General features: G+C 42.7%; 1 protein-coding gene, 1 long non-coding RNA gene and 2 pseudogenes across 86 annotated transcripts in view; 2 read left to right on the forward strand and 2 right to left on the reverse strand.

Moving 5' to 3' along the window:
• SNHG14 (small nucleolar RNA host gene 14) overlaps nt 1-19,387 on the forward strand; it is a 595,855-nt gene that overhangs the window by 80,315 nt on the left and 496,153 nt on the right. Inside the window, exon 4 of the long non-coding RNA NR_146177.1 lies at nt 16,089-16,202. This is a non-coding gene — a long non-coding RNA (small nucleolar RNA host gene 14). The remainder of the gene's footprint in view (nt 1-16,088; nt 16,203-19,387) is intronic.
• Nucleotides 1-19,387, forward strand: part of SNRPN (small nuclear ribonucleoprotein polypeptide N) — a 155,087-nt gene that overhangs the window by 80,286 nt on the left and 55,414 nt on the right. For 38 of the 85 annotated variants that reach the window (NM_022807.5, NM_022808.5, NM_001400637.1 and 35 more), the window contains one exon: nt 16,089-16,202. The exons of 8 other annotated variants lie outside the window; for them this stretch is intronic. The gene's annotated coding sequence lies outside the window, so the exon portion shown is untranslated. Of the gene's footprint in view, nt 1-8,440; nt 8,609-13,128; nt 13,318-16,088; nt 16,203-16,550; nt 16,626-17,205; nt 17,334-19,387 lie in introns of all 85 variants that reach the window. 39 more of the 85 variants (NM_001400690.1, NM_001400641.1, NM_001349457.2 and 36 more) reach the window with 9 other exon arrangements.
• On the reverse strand, nt 4,942-5,978 carry RPL5P1 (ribosomal protein L5 pseudogene 1; annotated as a pseudogene).
• On the reverse strand, nt 6,892-7,224 carry RPS27P2 (ribosomal protein S27 pseudogene 2; annotated as a pseudogene).

Consider the following 19,387-nt stretch of genomic DNA (forward strand, 5'->3'; position numbering starts at 1 on the left):
ATTTGGGAGACTGAGGTGGGAAGATCACCTGAGCCCAGGAGGTGGCAGTTGCAGTGAGCAGAGCTGAGGTCTGGCCACTGCATTCCAGCCTGGGCTACAAAGCAAAGTCCTGTCTCAAAAAAAAAAAAAAGATCGGAGCAAGAAAAAGGAAAAAGATGGGTAAAAACATAGAAACGACTAAGTTCATTTCAGCAGGAATATATTTTTAAATATATTTCAAAACTGAAACAATGCTATGTTTTGCTGCAGTGTGTGAGGGAACACAATTCAGGCTAATGCACAGTAAAAATGCAGGGAAGCCTGGCCCCGTAACCACTTTTAATACCACATACTACAGTTAACAGTTGGTGAGAACCCTATTAGGCTGATTTCAATTACAAACATGGATGTACAGGAGTATGTTTTAATGGCACACATGCATAGTTCATATTTTATTAGAAAATCTGTTCAGGCCGGCTACAGTGGCTAACGCCTGTAATCCTAGCACTTTGGAAGGCTGAGGCGGGTGGATCACCTGAGGTTAGGAGCTCAAGACCGGCCTGGCCAACATGGTGAAACCCCGTCTCTACTAAAAATACAAAAATTAGCTAGGCATGGTGCCGCGCGCCTGTAATCCCAGCTACTCAGGAGGCTGAAGCAGGAGAATCGCATGAACCCGGGAGGCAGAGGTTGCAGTGAGCCAAGATCGGGCCACTGCACTCCAGCCTGGGCAACAGAGCAAGACTCCCTCTTGGGAAAAAGAAAAGAAAAGAAAAGAAAGAAAGAAAATCCGGGCTGGGCACAGTGGCTCACTTCTGTAATCCCAACATTTTGGGAGGATCACTTGAGATCAGGAGTTCAAGACTAGCCTTGCCAACATGGTGAAACCTTGTCTCTACTAAAAATACAAAAATTAGCTGGGCATCAGCTACTCTTGAGGCTGAGGCAGGAGAAAGGCGTGAACCCGGGAAGTGGAGCTTGCAGTGAGCCGAGATCGCGCCACTGCACTCCAGCCTGGGCAACAGGGCAAGACTCCGTCTCAAAAAAAAAAAAAAAAAAAAATTAGCTGGGCGTGGTGGCATGTGCCTGTAATCCTAGCTACTTGGGAGGCTGAGGCAGGAGAATCGCTTGAACCCAGAATTCAGAGGTTGCAGTAAACTGAGATCCTGCCACTGCACTCCAGGCTGGGTGAGAGAGCAAGACTCCGTCTCAAAAAAAAAAAAAAAAAATTAAAAATTAAATCCACCAAATTAGCTCAAGAACACTTCCTTGACTGGCTCAGAAATCCCATCCGATTTTAAGATAGATGTTAAAAAATAACAGGGAGGACCGGGTGCGGTGGCTCAGACCTGTAAACCCAGCACTTTGGGAGGCCGAGGTGGGGGGATTATGAGGTCAGCAGTTCGAGACCAGCCTGGCCAATATGGTAAAACCCTGTCTCTACTAAATATACAAAAATTAACTGGGCATGGTGGCGTGCGCCTGTAGTCTTAGCAGCTCAGGAGGCTGAGGCAGGAGAGTCGCTTGAACCCGGGAGGCGGAGGTGGCAGTGAGCCGAGATCAAGCCACTGCACTCGAGCCTGGGTGACAGAGTGAGACTCCATCTCAAAAAAAAAAAAAAAAAGACACATTATTTCATTTTAATAATGTTAGTCAATTTTTTTTGTTGTCGATGAGTTGCGTTTTGTTCATTAAGAATCAGCTGTAACATTTGTTGGGACTTGGTAGAAGATAACTGCTAGGTGGTTGTAGCTGCCAGGCTTTTAATGAGAGGAGCTTAGTTTAGCGAAAATAAAAGAAAAACAAAGATTAATATTTGGAATAAACTGTAAACTCAGCTTCTGAGTCCAGAGATCAGCCAGTCAAGATTGTTTAGACTTGAGCTTATCTTTAGATGGTGAAGTTAGGAAGGTAGTGACAGTCTAATGAGTTTTCCTAGTTTACAGTTTGTATGTCTTTGGTGATTACATCCAGTGTTCTGGTGAACTTCCTGAGGGGCCCACCCAGCAACAGACACAAAGGTGATTTATTTGAAACTGTAGGAACGAAAAAGTAATATATTTTCATCACCCATTACAAGGTTAACGAGTGAGACTCCTATAACAAAAGACATATTAATAAGAAAAAATAATATCAAATGTAGTTACTAAAAGTATTATGTGACATGGGAGCTTTTAGAAATGAAGATCAAAAGAACCAGGGAGAATCCTGGGTTTTTTTGTTTTTGTTTTTGTTTTTAATTGAGACAAGGTCTGGCTTTGTCACCCTGGCTGGAGTTCAGTGACACGATCCCAGGTCACTTCAACCTCCACCTCCATGGGCTCAAGCCATATTCCACCTCAGCCTCCCGAGTAGCTGGGACTACAGGTGGGTGCCACTGCACCTGGCTAATTTTTGTTTTGTTTTGTTTTTGTAGAGATGGGGTTTTGCCTTGTTGCCCAGGCTGGTCTTGAGCTCCCAAGCTCAACTGATTCACCCACCTTGACCTCCCAAAGTGCTGGGATTACAGACATGAGCCACCGTACATGGCTGGAAAAATCTATTTTTACAGAGAGCTATGCAAATGTGTGATTGGAAAACAAATGGGTATGACCTAGTGGCAATAATCTGAGGAGAAATTAGCCAGATCTGTTCAGATTCTTCTTGGTCTCTGCGTATAGAAAAGGACTGCTCCTGAGTGAGGAATTTATGACCTACTTTCCGGGGAGGTAGGTCAGAGAATTCTTTTGTGACCCACTTCAGGGGGAAGAGGTCAAAGACTGTGCTTCCTGCATCTATTATCTCAATTTCTGAGGTGCCATATTTGGGGGCATTATTTACAGAGACTCAAGGGGGTGTAAGTGCCTATTATCAGAGGTCATTCTTACGGAGGCTATTAACGAAATTTTAGGTGAATGGCTGAGCAGACATCTAGAAGTTGTCATCCAGTCTATTTCTAATTAGGTTTTTTCTTTTCTGACGCAGGTAGTTGATTTTGCAGGATCTGCTGTCCCTTAGGAGAAGAGGGCCCTAAAGTTCAAGTGATTGTGGGACTGGAGGAGATAAAAGGCTGGCAGGGGAGGGCAGAGGGAGGGAGGATGAAGCAGTTAGGGGCTTGAAGGGGGAAATATCAAAGGAGGCAAGAGAACTGAAGGGTAAAATAATGCCAAAAAAGAGGTGGACAGAGTTGGCAAAGCATATCGTAAGCAGGGATTTGAGAAGAGGGGATTCAGATGACAGAGAACATCCCAAGGGAGAAGCAGAATCCAATATAGAGAATGGATTGGTCTTAAATAGAGCTGGGAGTAAAAGATTCGCAGCCCAGGAAGTCAGGGAATAATACCTACGGAGGAAGGACTTCCAGGCCAAGTATCCAGGGAATAATCCCCACTGCTATGGTTCTAATGATGGTGCCCTCTCAAAAATTCGTGTTGAGGCCGGGCATGGTGGCTTATGCCTGTAATCCCAGCACTTTGGGAGGCCGAGGCAGGCGGATCACAAGGTCAGGAGATCGAGACCATCCTGACTAACATGGTGAAACCCCGTCTCTACTAAAAATATAGAAAAATTAGCCAGGCGTGGTGGCGGTCGCCTGTAGTCCCAGCTACTCGGGAGGCTGAGGCAGGAGAATGGCATGAACCCAGGAGGCAGAGCTTGCAGTGAGCCGAGATCGTGCCACTGCACTCCAGCCTGGGTGACAGAGCGAGACTCCATCTCAAAAAAAAGAAAAAAATCATGTTGAAATGTAATCTTCAGTGAAATAGTATGTTGCCCAGGCTGGTCTTAAACTCCTGGGCTCAAGTGATCCTCCCACCTCGGCCTCCCAAAATGCTGGCACTATAGGCATAAGCCACCACGCCTGGCCAAGACACTACCTTGAAAGCACAGAGTAGGCCAGGCGCGGTGGCTCACACTTGTAATCCCAGCACTTTGGGAGGCCAAGGTAGGCAGATCATGAGGTCAGGAATTCGAGACCAGCCTGTCCAACACAGTGAAACCCTATCTCTACTAAAAATACAAAAATTAGCTGGGCATGGTGGTGGGCACCTGTAATGCCAGCTACTCGGGGGGCTGAGGCAGGAGAATCACTTGAACCCGGGAGGTGGAGGTTGTGGTGAGCCAAGATTGCACCACTGCCCTCCAGCCTGGGCAACAGAGCTAGACTCCATCTCAAAAAAAAAAAAAAAAAAAAAAAAAAGAATAAGAAAGAAAGAAAGCACAGAGCAGCCCTTACTAGACACAAATTATGCCAGTGACTTGATGGCGTAATTGGACTTCCTGACTCCAGAACTGTGAGAAACAAATTTCTGTTCTTTATAGATTTCCTAGGCTCAGTTATTATGCTTAGCGGCACAACTGACTAAGATAGAAATTGGTACTGAGAAGTGGCAGTGTTGCAATAACAAATACCTAAAAATGTAGAGGCTGCTTTGGAACTGAGTAATGGGTAGAGGCTGGAAGAGTTTGGAAGTGCATGCTAGAAGAAGGCTAGTTTGCCATGCATTAAGGCGATTCTGACGAGGCTTCAGAAGATGAAAAGCCATAGAGAAAGCCTCCGTCTTTGAGATTATCTAGGTGGTTGTGAACAGAATGTTAGAAAGAATATGGACAGTAAAGGACATTCTGATGAAGTCTTAGATGGAAATGAGGGATATCTTATTGGAAACTGGAGGAAAAGCCATCCTTGTTACAAAGTGGCAGAGGATTTGTTCCTGGAAAGAACAGAACAAGGTCTGGGAAAGAAGGGAGTTTATTTCTGCAGCTGGTTACAGGGAGAAGGCCGGAGTAACTCACCATACCAACTCAAAGTTACAAGTTTTTTTCTAGTGCTTATATACATTTTAAGCTCCCATGCTAGGAGTGGAATTGCACCTCCAAGCAGGAGTGTTTCCTTCAATCTATATCTAAACTTTAACTAGGACCTAGGGTCTGGAAATCTTTCTCTAGAGTCTTGGAAAGCTTTTTAATCTTTTTTTCTTTTTCTTTTTTTTTGCTGTCCATAAGTTTATTGTCTGTATCTGAAAAATCATCATAGAAAATTGTTTGGTTTAGCTCTCAGCAGCCTGCTTCTGAGCTCTGAGGAAGCTTGCATTCTTTTGAGCTACCCAATCCTTCTTCTGAGCAAGGGACATTTTGGGATGGTTCCACCTCTTCTTTTTAACTTCTTTCTTGGGCTTATTTTCATAGACTGGATTCTCTCGTATAGCAGCATGAGCTTCCTTATACATTTCCTCCATCATGTCTGGAGTTACCCTGTTCTTTATGTATTGAGAGAACTGTTTCTTGTAAGCATTTTCATCTTCTTCCATTAAGTAGCACATGTAATCGGCAACATTCTGGCCCATGATGTGCTTCCGGTGTACTTCTGCATTAAATTCCTTGCTTTCAGAACCATAACCAGGGAATTGTTTGGTACTGTGAGGGATAGACAAGCCTCCATCCACAGCTCCCTTCAGGGCACCAAAAACTTTATTGCCAGTGGTAGTTCTGGCAAGGCCTGCATCCAAATAGCAGGTAAAGGCACTTGGCTGACCATCAATGCTTTCCACAATGTATTCATCGCCAGTCACCTCCACTTGGCCTTCATAGATCTTGTCCATGCCAAACCTACTGAGAAGCCTGCGGGCCAGCGGCAGGCCAGTACAATATGCTGCAGCATAATTTGTCGGGCCAACCTTCACACCATATTTTGGCAGTTCGTGTGCATATGCTGTGCAGACTATCATATCCCCCTCTATATGGGCATAAGCAATCTGACAAATGATATCTCTGTTTGTTACACGAACTATCATCCTGTATTTGAGTGTGTTGTATTTATTTTTATCCTGTATCACCAAGCGTTTCCGAGTATCGTAATCAGTTTTACCCTCTCATCATCGTCTTCTAAATTTCACTTGGTATCTCTTAAAGTAGGCCTTATTCTTAACAACTTTAACAAACCCCATCCTGCAGAACAGAGACCCGCGTCCACAGCTCAACAGAGACCAGCAGGCACAGCGGCGCTGGGGCAGGGAGAAGGGGAAAGCTTTTTAATCTTCAGTGGGTACCTGGAACAAGGTATCTGTGTAAAATGCTTTTATTATTCAACCAGACTTTAGGCTAAGAAAGCCCATTTTAATGGGTTTATTTTAATATTCCAGCCCTCATGCTCAGTCACCTGTTTCTCCAGTTCTTTAATGTTTAACTTATACATTCATTAGAATTATAATAGAGGGTCAGTGGAAACTGACTGTTCTGGTTGCTAATGGGAGCCTGCCCTGCCACAAACTTGGTGGAAGTATTTCTGTGTCTTAATAGTTTTTTGGAGGGTAGAATGTAAGAGCGATGAACTAGGACATTTGGCAGAAGAAATCTCTAAGCCAAGTTTTCAGGGTACTGCATAGCTTCTCTTAACTGCTTATAGTAAACTGTGAGAAGAGAAAAGATAGGACTTCTAATCAAAAGGGAAGCAGATTAGCTGGGCATGGTGGCACACACCTGTAGTCCCAGCTACTCTGCAGGCTGAGGTAGGAGGGTTGCTTCAGCACAGGAGGTCGAGGCGGCAGTGAGCTATGATCGTACCACAGTCTGGGCAACAGAGTGAGATCCCATCTCAAAAAAAAATGCTAATTATTATTATTATTATCATTGAGATGGAGTCTTGCTCTGTCGCCCAGGCAGGAGTGCAATGGTGCGATCTCGGCTCACTGCAACCTCTGCCTCCTCCCGGGTTCAAGTGATTCTCCTGACTCAGCCTCCTGAGCAGCTGGGATTACAGGCGCCCGCCACCACACCCGGCTAATTTTTGTATTTTTAGTAGAGATGGGGTTTCATCATATTGGCCAGGCTGGTCTCGAACTCCTGACTTCGTGTTCCACCCACCTCAGCCTCCCAAAGTGCTGGAACTACAGGCGTGAGGCACCTCACCTGGCCAAAGACTATTATTATCATTATTTTATCCAAAATGTGTTTATTGAGATGGTTTCCCACTCATCTTGATTCAGGGTGCTTTTAGTGCTGCTTTCTCCTGAAGGACCATCCTTCCATAAGCCTTGCTTTTCCTCCTGTAGGCTGGCAGAGGAAAGTGCAGCAGCCAACACCCAAAACCACTGTTGGCACATGGCTAAAGACCGTGGTGATTTTATAGCATCCTGGGCATTTCACATCCATGAAGTAGGAATTGGGGCTCTGCACCAGGTGTTTCTTCTTGTGTTTCCTCTTCTCCTCTTCTGGAGAGGGATGAAGGAGATCCTTTGCAAGAAGCATGTTCTTGTGGGTAGGTCGTCAGTGCTGGAAAGGGCCAAAGAAAATTATTTTTAAAGGGAAGTTGAACATAAAGATTTGGAAAATTAACAGCCTGGCCTTGTAAAGAATTTTTTAAATAAGTTCAGGAGACAAAACCAACTGTGTGGCCAACTGACCGTTTCATAAGGAGATTAGTATGACTAGAATGCCAGATGCTATTCATTAAGACAATGGGAGAATGACCCTGAAGACATTTCAGAGAGCACTGAGAATGCCACAACCATCACAGGCCCAAAGTGCCAGGTCCTTGAGGGAATAACAATTTTAAGGAAGGAGCCCAGGATTCCAGTGCAACCCAAGATGCCTGTGGGAACTTGGGGCTCACTGACTATGCTGCCTCATGTATCTGCTCCCTGAAGTCAAGCAAAGCTTCCCCATCTGTGGTTCAGGTGGGCCCAGGTACAGCTCAGATCACTCCTCCAGAAAACACAAGTAGTAAAACATGGGGCAGCATGCATGTGGTGCTAACTGCAGGCATGCTAAATCCACAGCTGTGAAGGCATGGCTTTCTCCACCTAATTTCCAAGGAAGCCTTGAAGAATGCCTCAGGGCCCAATCAGAGAACTGCTGTAGGGGCAGGGCTGCCATAGAAAGTTCCCACTAGGGCAATGTCCAGCAGAACTATTGGGTTGGGGCCACCACAGAGTGCCCTCACTAGGGCAATACTCAGTGGAGCCATAGGGACAGGGCCACCCCTGAGTTCCTAGACCCAGACCTGTAGATCCGGTAGTGCGTATTCCAACCTGTAATAGACATAGACACCTGACTACAACCTGTAGAACTGTGGCATGGGCTGACTCCAGCAGTCATGGCAGCAGGGTCCCCTGGGGGCTTGGGAACCTAAGCACTACCCCAGTGTCTCTGTAAGGTGAGAGGTAGAATCAAAAAAGCTGACTCTCACACCTCAAGATTGAATTTTGTTGGCCTTGTTGGGTTTTGAAGTTATGTGGGACATGTTACCCCTATCTTCTTGCCTATTTCCTCCACCAACCTTTTGTTTTTGCCATGGGGTCGAGCTATGTCACCCAGGCTGGTCTCAAATTCCTGGGCTCAAGAGATCCTCCTGTCTCAGCCTCCTGAATAGCTAAGACTGCAGGCACCATGCCTGGCTTATTTCTGACTTTTATAAAGGGAATGTTTATCCTGTGCCTGTCCAACCATTGTATTTTGGAAACACATAATCTGTTTGACTTCACAGGTTCACAGCTGGAGAGCCATTGTCTCGGGATTAATTGTACCTTGAGCATCACCTATATCTGATTTAGATGATATTTACATGCGACTTTCGACTTACACTTGAAAGTTGATGCTGGAATGAGTTAAGACATTTTGGAGTTACTAAGATGGAATGGACATATTCTTGTGGGTGAGAACGACATGAATTCTCATGTCATGGCAAGGGTGGAGTGCTATGGTTTGAATAATGGTGTCCCTTCTAAAATTAGTGTGGAAATTTAATGCCCAATGCAACAGTATTAAGAGGTTTGGCAATTGCGTGGTGACTAAGCCATGAGGGCTCTGCTCTAATGCATGAGATTAACATCTCTATAAAAGTGTATTAATTTAAAGGGAGTACTTTCTTGCCCTTCTGCCCCATTCACCATGTGAGGACATAGTCATGGCTCCTCCACAGGATGCAGCAACAAGACATCATCTTGGAAACAGACAGCAGCCCCGTTTAGACCTCCTTCTGCTGCTTTGATCTTGGACCTCTCATCCTCCAGAAACACGACAAATAAGTTTATGTTCTTTATAAGTTACTCATTATCAGGTATTTATTTATTTATTTTTTTGAGACAGAGTCTCGCTTTGTCGCCCAGGCTGGAGTACAGTGGTGTGATCTCAGCTCACTGCAACCTCCGCCTCCTGGGTTCAAGTGATTCTCCTGCCTCAGCCTCCTGAGTAGCTGGGATTACAGGCATGCACTACCACACCTGGCTAACTTTGGTATTTTCAGTAGAGACAGGGTTTCACCATGTTTGCCAGTCTGATCTCGAACCCCTGACCTTAGGTGATCTGGCCCCATCTGCCTCCCAAAGTGCTGGGATTACAGACGTGAGCCACTGTGCGTGGCCAATATCAGGTATTTCTAATAGCAGTACAACGGACTAAGATACTCAGGAAAACAGAGCCAGGAGGAAAAATATTCTATCTCAGGGAGTTAAGGAATCATGCCCACTCAAGAAAGAGTATAAGGGCTGGGCATAGTGGCTCACGCCTGTAATCTCAGCACTTTGGGACGACAAGGTGGGCAGATCACTTGAGGTCAGGAGTTTGAGACCAGCCTGGCCAACATGGTGAAAGACCACCTCTACTAAAAATACAAAAATTAGCCAGGCGTGGTGGCACATGCCTGTAATCCCAGCTACTTGACAGGCTAAGGCTGGAGAATCGCTTAAACCTGGTGGGAGGCAGAGGCTACAGTGAGCCAAGATCACGCCACTGCACTTCAGCCTGGGTGACATAGTGAGACTCCGTCTCAAAAAAACAAAACAAAACAAAACAAAAAAAACAAAGAAAAAGAGTGTAGGGGAAAAATAACACTCAGTTTATTTTTTAGTCCAAACAGACCCCTTTAACAAAATAAAGATTAACAAGAGAAAAGCAAACAAGTTTATTAATGTGTGTATTTCATCTACACATGGAAAATACCCAGAGAATGAATAGTTATCAAAGAAGTGCTTTGAATTCCAGCATATATAGCATCTTCAGCAGAGAACCGTACATTTTTAGAGAAGTGAAAAGATAAAGAAAAAGGAGATTGTGTCCGTAGGGGTGACAACTTACGGAAAGGCAAATAAATTGCAGATAAATTCAGTTACTAAGCATGTTGCTATAAATTCCTTTGGTATCATTTCCAGGCTGACCAGGGTCTAAAGTTTTCTTCAGTGGTTAGCCTTTGTTCTCCCTGGTAAAAGCGTGAGTGTGGAGAGTGGGGAGGGAGAGGGTACCTTTTGTCTTCGCAACTCTATATCTTGCTTTTCGGCCAGTAAAGGAAGAACAAAAAACTTCCCTGCATCTGCTTCTTCTTAATTGTCTTCAGCTCAACAATGCTTCCAGTTTTAGGGTGGCATATTCTGGCCTCCCACAAGAGCCAGGAAGAACAGATGTGCAGCCCAACGGTGAGGAAATAATTTTCACCCTACAAAGAGCCAGGAAAAAGACCTTCCATTCCAGGAAGTACCTTTCAAAAGATACCTGGGAGTCTAATCCAGCTTCAAACTATACTCTGAATTCTTAAGAATCAAGGCCAGGTGTGGTGGCTTATGCCTGTAATCCCAGCATTTTGGGAGGCTGAGGCAAGGGGATCGATCACTTGAGCCCAGGGTTTGAGACCAGTCTGGGCAACATAGCGGGATAGTGAGATCCTCTCCACACACAAAAATTAAAAATAAAAATAAATAAAAAAAATTAAAACCTATCCTTACAAGCTTCAGTGGACACTTGTCCAGAGCAATCAATGGCTCCAGAGTCTAATTCACCAGTGGATCCCCAATCAACTTATTAGGAATAAAGACAAGGTTTCAAAGGTGCACCCTGAGGTCCTGGGTGAGAGGTCCAGGGGACCAAAAATGAATAACTGAAAAAATTATATATTCAGTGATACTTATTAAAGCATGGTAAAGAAAACTTTATTCAGGACCATTGTGATAGATACAGGGACCAATGCAATGGGATTTTGCAATGGAATAGAGAGATTGCTCTGAACTCCAAATAGATCATGGGAAAAAGGGACGTTATAACCAAGAAGCAGGGTTGGGGTGTAGTGGGTGAAGGAATGGAAAATTACTAAAAGGAAACATCAGGGATAAGGGGGATTCTGGCTAAACTGACACCTAACAAGATTCTTGTTAAAGATGGGCCAGAGTGGTCATGTATCACTTGGAAGATGGTGGAAGATGAACCTGATCAGATATCAAGGGTGATCAGATATCAAGGAGAAGAGGGTTCTTTTTTATATTTATTTATTTATTTATTTTTGAGACAGAGTCTCGCTCTGTCATCCAGGCTGGAGTGTAGTGGCGTGATCTCGGCTCACTGTAACCTCCGCCTCCTGGGTTCAAGTGATTCTCCTGCCTCAGCCTCCTGAGTAGCTGGGATTACAGGCGTGCACCACCATACCCGGCTAATTTTTGTATTTTTAGTAGAGATAGGGTTTCACCATGTTGGTCAGGCTGGTCTCAAACTCCTGACATCGTGATCTGCCCGCTTCGGCCACCCAAGGTGCTGGGATTATGGGGGTGAGCCACCTTGCCCGGCCGAGAAGAGAGTTCTTGATAAACAGACTTCCTTGTTAAAACTAGATTTTATAATGAGGTCCACAGATGGGTGGAGGAGAAGCCTGAGTAAATTTTGGTTAAGCAGAGAAACTTTGTCATCCCTCCTGTATGCATTATGCTCCCTTTTCTCCAGTGGAGCTCTCTTCAACCTTGATGTTATTGTCCAATCAGTTTGTTTTCCCAGTGTTGATGTTCTGATTTCATCCTACAAAAATATAGCATAAACTTGTATTTGTTGCATTCTACAACATAAGCCTGACAATATAACAAACTGTTCCCAAAGTTATAAATTCCTCGTCTTTTTATTTGTAATTTGACTTTTAAAAATCTATGTAATTATAGAAGAATGTTGCTACTATAAAAATTTTAAGGGGTGGCAGGGAATAATTCCAAAATTATAAAACTCCTTGTGACAAATTTAGGAATGATATTCAGCTAGTTCTATAGTTTTTTATTCCTTGAATAATCAGCGATATACATCTGATTATATACACACATTGTGGTTTTTTTTTGGCCAGGTTGACTTTTTTTTTTTTTTTTTTTTTGAGATGGAGTCTCACTCTGCCACCCAGGCTGGAGTGCAATGGCACAATCTCGGCTCACTGTAACCTCTGCCTCCCGGATTCAAGTGATTCTCCTGCCTCAGCCTCCCATTACAGGCACCCGCCACCAAGCCTGGCTAACTTTTGTATTTTTAGTAGATAATGGGGTTTCACTACGTGGGCCGGGCTAGTCTTGAACTCCTGACCTCGTGATCCACCCACCTCGGCCTCCCAAAGTGCTGGGATTACAGGCGTGAGCCACCGCGCCCAGCCTTGGTTGACTTATTCTTTTAAGGAGCAATGTGGGTTAATGTTTCAAAGTGAAAAAATTTAAAAACTTAGGGGAAAGTGGGGGGAGAGAGAGACAAAGACAGAGACAGAAAGAGAGACAGAGTGAGAGATGGAGAGAGATCAGATAGGTACATAAGCTTAGTGACTCAGCCTGTAGTCCCAGTTACTTAGGAGGCTAAGGCAGGAGGATTGCTTGAGCCCAGAAACTCAAGTTTTCAGTGAGCAGTGATCTGCAACACTGCACTCCAGCCCATGTGATAGAACCAGATCGTCTCTAGAAGAAAAAAAAAGAAGAAAAAAATACATATACATACATACATTGGTGTTTGTTTCTACATATGCTTCATAGTATATGTGTACATGGATTATAGGTAGATCATATAATGGTAACAGTATTAAATTAGGTGTCAGCATTTGTTGAGGAAGTAGTACGCTCGTGTTTGAAATTTTAATTAAGAATTGTGTACGGAGTTGGTTCCTTCCGGTGGGTTTGTGGGTTTGTGGTCTCACTGACTTCAAGAATGAAGCCACAAGCCTTCTGAACCTTCGTGGTGAGTGTTACAACTCTTAAAGGTGGCACAGACCCAAGGAGTGAGCCGCAGCAAGATTTATTGTGAAGATCGAAAGAACAAAATTTCCACAGCATAGAAGCAGACTGAGCAGGTTGCCACTGGTGGCTGGGGTGGAGTGGCCAGCTTTTATTCCTTATTTGTCCCCACCCATATCCTGCTGATTGGTCCATTTTACAGAGTGCTGACTGGTCCATTTTACAGGGTGCTGATTGGTCCATTTTACAAACCTCTAGCTACAGAGCATCGATTGGTGCATTTTTACAGAGCACTGATTGGTGCATTTTACAAACCTGTTGTAAGACAGAAAAGTTCTCCAAGGCCCCACCTGACCTACGAAGTCCAGGTGGCTTCATCTCTCAGAATCAGCTTTTAAAGGCCATAAATTTCCAGGTAAGTAGGAATAGAAGAAATGAACATTTCCTTTGAGATCTATGATGTCATATTTTTTTCTCCATCAACGATTTAGTTCCTTCTGGATCAAATACTTTTTAAATGGATGTATGTTTTATAGTAGATGTTATGTTGTCTTAATTATTTTAAAACTCCTATTCCTGGACTCTCCTGAAGAGGAGAATTTAGTAATTTCGAAGTATTTTTTGAGGCTAGGGAAGAAAAACCAAGATTACTGCATAAGGTTTCAGGGGATGTTCCATGCCTGCCACCTGGTGAAAATGAGGGAGCTTTCCTCCTACCTGCCACCATTACACCTGCCTGCAGGTAATAACGCCATCATTTCAACGCGGCCTGGGGTATTCTGGGAAGGTGACGTGTGGGGGCGCAGTGACCGCTAGCAGGGGCCAAACCCGCCCTGGTCTGCGCTGCAGTGCGCAGTGAGGATGTTGGTGCTGCTCTTCAGGGTTTTCTTTCCGCAGCCACGGGAAGCCCGTGTTCCATATTTGTTTTTCATGTTCTCTCGTTTTTATGTTGTGGATTTAGTTTTTTAAAAACCATAAATGTTCCTCTACAGTCTTAACAATGTACCCTGTAAAATAAGATTTTAAAAGAGCCAACTTCCCTATTAATCTTATACTTTTTTCTTTTCGTTCTGGCTTTAACAAATGTGACCTAAAGAGAGCTCTTGATTTTATGTAGAACAATACAAGAATAGTTTTACATTAATCTTATGGTTAGAAAAATCATTTATGGGCAAATTTGTTCCCATGCCTTACTTTTAAAATATTGTGTTGTCTTTAATTTTCAAAATACTTTAAATATTTTTCAGTAAGTTTGAGGGTAGAATTTATTTTAATGAGACTCCTCTTATAAAAAGTACGTATCTGTATGTGCATATGTGTATACTGAATTTGCTTTGCTTTTGATTCTATCATTCTGTCACTTTTCTATCAAAATATCTCTAATGGACAGAGGCCAGAGACAAGGACTTTTACAGCAAATTTGCCACAGTACCACACATTTTATCTTAAAAGATGGTATGGATTTTGCATAACATATATATGCAAACATATATATATATAACATAATATATATGTGTATATATATATAACATTATATATATGTGTATATATATAACATAATATATATGTGTATATATATAACATAATATATATGTGTATATATAACATAATATATATGTGTATATATATAACATAATATATATGTGTATATATATAACATAATATATATGTGTGTATATATAACATAATATATATATGTGTATATATAACATAATATATATGTGTGTATATATAACATAATATATATGTATATATATAACATAATATATATGTATATATATAACATAATATATATGTGTGTATATATAACATAATATATATGTGTGCATATATATAACATAATATATATGTGTGCATATATATAACATAATATATATGTGTGCATATATATAACATAATATATATGTGTGCATATATATAACATAATATATATGTGTGCATATATATATAACATAATATATATGTGTGCATATATATATATAACAATATATATATGTGCGCATATATATAATATATATATGCGCACATATATATAACAATATATATATGTGCATATATATATAACATAATATATATATGTGCACATATATATAACATAATATATATATGCGCACATATATATAACATAATATATATGCGCGCATATATATATAACATAATATATATGTGCGCATATATATATAACATAATATATATGTGCGCATATATATATAACATAATATATATGTGCGCATATATATATAACATAATATATATGTGCGCATATATATATAACATAGCCGTTTGGTTTATTTTATGTGTGTGCGTTAAAAAGTTATTCAATTGCTGGGCGTGGTGGCTCACGCCTGTAATCCCAGCACTTTGGGAGGCCGAGGCGGGCGGATCACGAGGTCAGGAGATTAAGACCATCCTGGCTAACACGGTGAAACCCCGTCTCTACTAAAAATACACAAAAAATTAGCCGGGCGTCGTGGCGGGCACCTGTAGTCCCAGCTACTCGGGAGGCTGAGGCAGGAGAATGGCGTGAACCCGGGAGGCGGAGCTTGGAGTGAGCCGAGATAGCGCCACTGCATTCCAGCCTGGGCGACAGAGCGAGACTCTGTCTCAAAAAAAAAAAAAAAATATTCAATTATGCTTGTTAAAGCAAGGTAAGGGTCACCATGGTGATAGGTACAGGGACCTCTGCAGATAGAGATTGGGCTAACTCCAAACAGCGTAGGCAAGCGGAAATTTATAACCAAAGAGCAGGCTGGGAGGTCTGTGAATGGAAAATTACCAATGAGAAACCTCAAAGGTTAGGGGGATTCTGGCTAAACCAGCCTAACAGGATTTTTGCTGAAGACAGGCCAGGGTGATCAAACATCACTTGGGGGATGGTGCAGGATGATGAACCTGGTAAGATATTAAGGGTGATCAGATATCAAAGGTAAGGAAGTTCTTGCTAAAGCTGGATTTGACAAGGAAGTGCACAGACTGGAGAAGGTTCAGGTGCCTGACTAATGTTTGATCAAGCAAAGAATCTTTGTCAGTGTACAGAACGCTATGTTTTTATAAAATGTTCCTCTGCCCCATTTGTATCTCCCCTTTTCATGGAACACAAAGCACGTTTTGCATAACTTCTAGATACATGTACTTCTATTTTGAATGACCTGATATATCTTTTTTCTTTACAATTCTCAACCTCAGCATATGTAAGTGGAACTCAGAAGGCAACATTCCCTGAACATACTCTTCCACCAGAATCTCCTCTACAGATTTTTGCTGCCCCTTTTACCAGTGGCTGAATCTACTTTCTCTTATGTAAGTAGAAATTTTATATATCTCCAGCCTCTTCCTCCTTACCTTCCACTTGCATGCACATCCTGTCTAGTCTGTGACCTCCTCTGTTATAAATGCTTGTAAACCTTTTTTTCTGAATCAGAAACGTGTTGTGTTGCTCAAGCCGTGTTCATTTTAATTACGATTTAACTGCATAATTTAATTATTTCCCCATTTTTTGGATACAGTGTTTGCTTTTCTCCGGTTACTTTGTTCTAGTATATCCCTCTGGCAAGAGCAGTCATTTCCCCACTTGAGTGTGCATTAGTATCACCTGGGGGCTTGTTAAACACAGCGTGCAAGCTCCATCCCAGGGTTTCTAATTCTCAGGGTTTGGTTTGCGGCAGAAGAATCTGCATTTCGAACAAGTGCCAGGACTGGTCTGAGGAACACACGTTGAGAGAGGTGGGATTCGGGTTCACTAACCTGGGTTAGAGAAAATTACAGTAATGTGCCAAATCTGAGGAGGGAGCAGAGCTGAAGCCCAGTTTCAATATGTGAATGAGTGCTTTATACACTCAAACCCCCTCAAGGGCTGGGGAGTAAGGGAGAACGTGGGCGGGCAGCGGGCGTGTATAGAGGCATAAACTCAATCCCAGACCTATGGATTCAGAATCACATGTTAACAATTCTTCCAGTGTTTTGTATGTTTATTATAGTTTGAGAATGACTGGACCAAATTGCCTCCAAAATCTTAAGTCCCAGCAGTGAAGCGAAGCTCAGACATCATTTGCATAGCTATTGCTTTGTGTCTGTGTTTTAGGTCAGCTGCTGTTAAAGGTTTGTTTCGGAGAGTTACCCAGGTGTAGTACCCTTCCAAGTAGATAATGATTGAAAGAGTATGTGCTGGAGGTGTATGATATTTTCCATCCACTTCAGCCCATTTTTCTGATGGGTCAGTGACAGTCCATGATTTGTCTGGTGTAATACAAATTCTGGAAGTGGCATATATCCAAGGACAGCCATAATATTCCACTTGGCCAAGGCTCTTCTGACAGGCTCATGTTCATGCAGGATCAGATCTGACCCAGAATCAACAGAACTGAAGCTGCAAATTCAGCTTTGTGAAGGCTTCAGATGTAGCCATGGTTAAAGAAGATTGACATTAAGCAGGTGAGCAGAGTTTGCTTGAGGTTCACCCAGGGAATTCGTGAGGATGCAGGTGCGTTTTTTTATGGCCTGAAAAGCCCAGTTTTTGAGGAGTTACAGTCCCTCTCAGAAACTGTTCCTGCAGAGTAGCCCTGGAAACATGTTTGTCTGCATTCAAGAAAGATCTTCCTTCTGTTCATATAAAGGAAGCCAAACTTATTTCCCAGGTAAGGGAGTGGAAGCAACTGTGATACGGAATCCTAAGGCATGGGGGTTAGTTGTAATCCAGGCAATATGTAGGGTCAGGTTCTCCAAGTCCTCCTGTGGTTAAAGGGCTCCACCCTAGGAAAGTGAGCCACCCAGGGCTTGGTAAATGACCTTATGATCAGCCCTTGGCCTGTTAACATGTCGTAACTGAGGCACAGGACTGGGTTCTTGGTTTGAATTTGCTAGTCAGATGGCCATTGCAGAAAGGGAAGAGAGCACAGTCCTTCAGGCCAACTCACTTGGCCTATTGAAACTGGCTTTTCTGAGCACAGTCTAGTATTGTTGCGAATTAAATACAGCAGAGGATGTAAGTTACCAGTATTAGTCACTATCAGTTGAGTACTTATTCTGTATCAGCCACTGTTCCTCTTTTCCATTTCCACCTGTTATATGTTAGTGACGATAAAAATGCCATACAGACCGGGCACGGTGGCTCACGCCTGTAATCCCAGCACTTTGGGAGGCCAAGGCAAGTGGACCACCTGAGGTCAGGAGTTTGAGACCAGCCTGGCCAACATGGTGAAACCTCCGTCTCTACTAAAAAAAAAAAAAAAAAAAAAAAAAATTAGCCGGGCACCGTGGCGGGCTCCTGTAATCCCAGCTACTAGGGAGACTAAGGCAGGAGAATCGCTTGAACCTGGGAGGCGGAGGTTGCAGTGAGCCAAGATCGTGCCATTGCACTCTAGCATGGGCGACAAAAGCAAAACTCCGTCTCAAAAAAGAGAAAAGAAAAAGCCATACAAAAAGGCTAAGAGCCTTGTTCAACCTCACACATGAAAGTGGCAGGGCTGGGGTATTAATTCAGGCATTCACAATCCAGATCCTCTACACATTTCACTGACATGAAACCCAGAAATTTCAGGTCTACTACCTTGAACCCAGAACTATTTTTCTCAAACTTGTTTTCTTGTGAGCTATATATAGGGAAAAATTGCATACAATACAGTACTGCTTTACAAATATATCATCTAATACCCAAGTCAAGAAAGACATGATCCTGAGCTCCCTCAAAACTCGTGGGTATCCCTTCTGAATCTTGACCTTTTATTCTGACTGAGATGAATCCTCCATGCTGCTCTTTGTAATTTTATTCCTCGTGATTACATACTTAAGCTACAGGAATACATCTTACGTAGTTTTGTTTATTCTTAACTGTATGTATTTTTTTGTCTTTTCCACTTGATATTGCATTTTCTGTATTTATCCATGTTGTGTGTAATTCCAGCTTCTTAATTTTTATTGATGGTGTTCTCTCATTATATATAATATATACAGCATGTAGCATGTATCTTTCTCACTGTGTATGTATACAGAGTGTATGCATATCACTATAGGTATACAGACATATCATTATCCTAGTATTTCCATATCTATGCCACAGTAGGCAGATCCTTTTTTTTTTTTTTTTTTTTTTTTTTGGGAAGACAGAGTCTCGCTCTATTGCTCAAGCTGGATGGAGTGCAGTGGCGCAATCTCAGCTCACTGCAACCTCCGCCTTCTGCATTGAAGCGATTCTCCTGCCTCAGACCCCCATGTAACTGGGACTACAGGCACCTGCCACCACACCCAGCTAATTTTTGTATTTTTAGCAGAGATGGGGTTTTACCATGTTGTCCAGGCTGGTCTCGAACTCCTGACCTCGGGTGATCTGCCTGCCTCAGCCTCCCAAAGTGCTGGGATTACAGGTGTGAGACACCATGCGCGGCTGCAGATCCCTTCTATACCTGATGATTGTTTGGGTTGTGTCTAGTCTGCAGTTATCACCAACACTGCAATCGTAATCACTGAAGTATGTGTATCCTGATTTATAT

The sequence above is a fragment of the Homo sapiens genome, chromosome 15 (genome assembly GCF_000001405.40).
Source record: "Homo sapiens chromosome 15, GRCh38.p14 Primary Assembly".
Taxonomy (NCBI): Eukaryota; Metazoa; Chordata; class Mammalia; order Primates; family Hominidae; genus Homo; species Homo sapiens.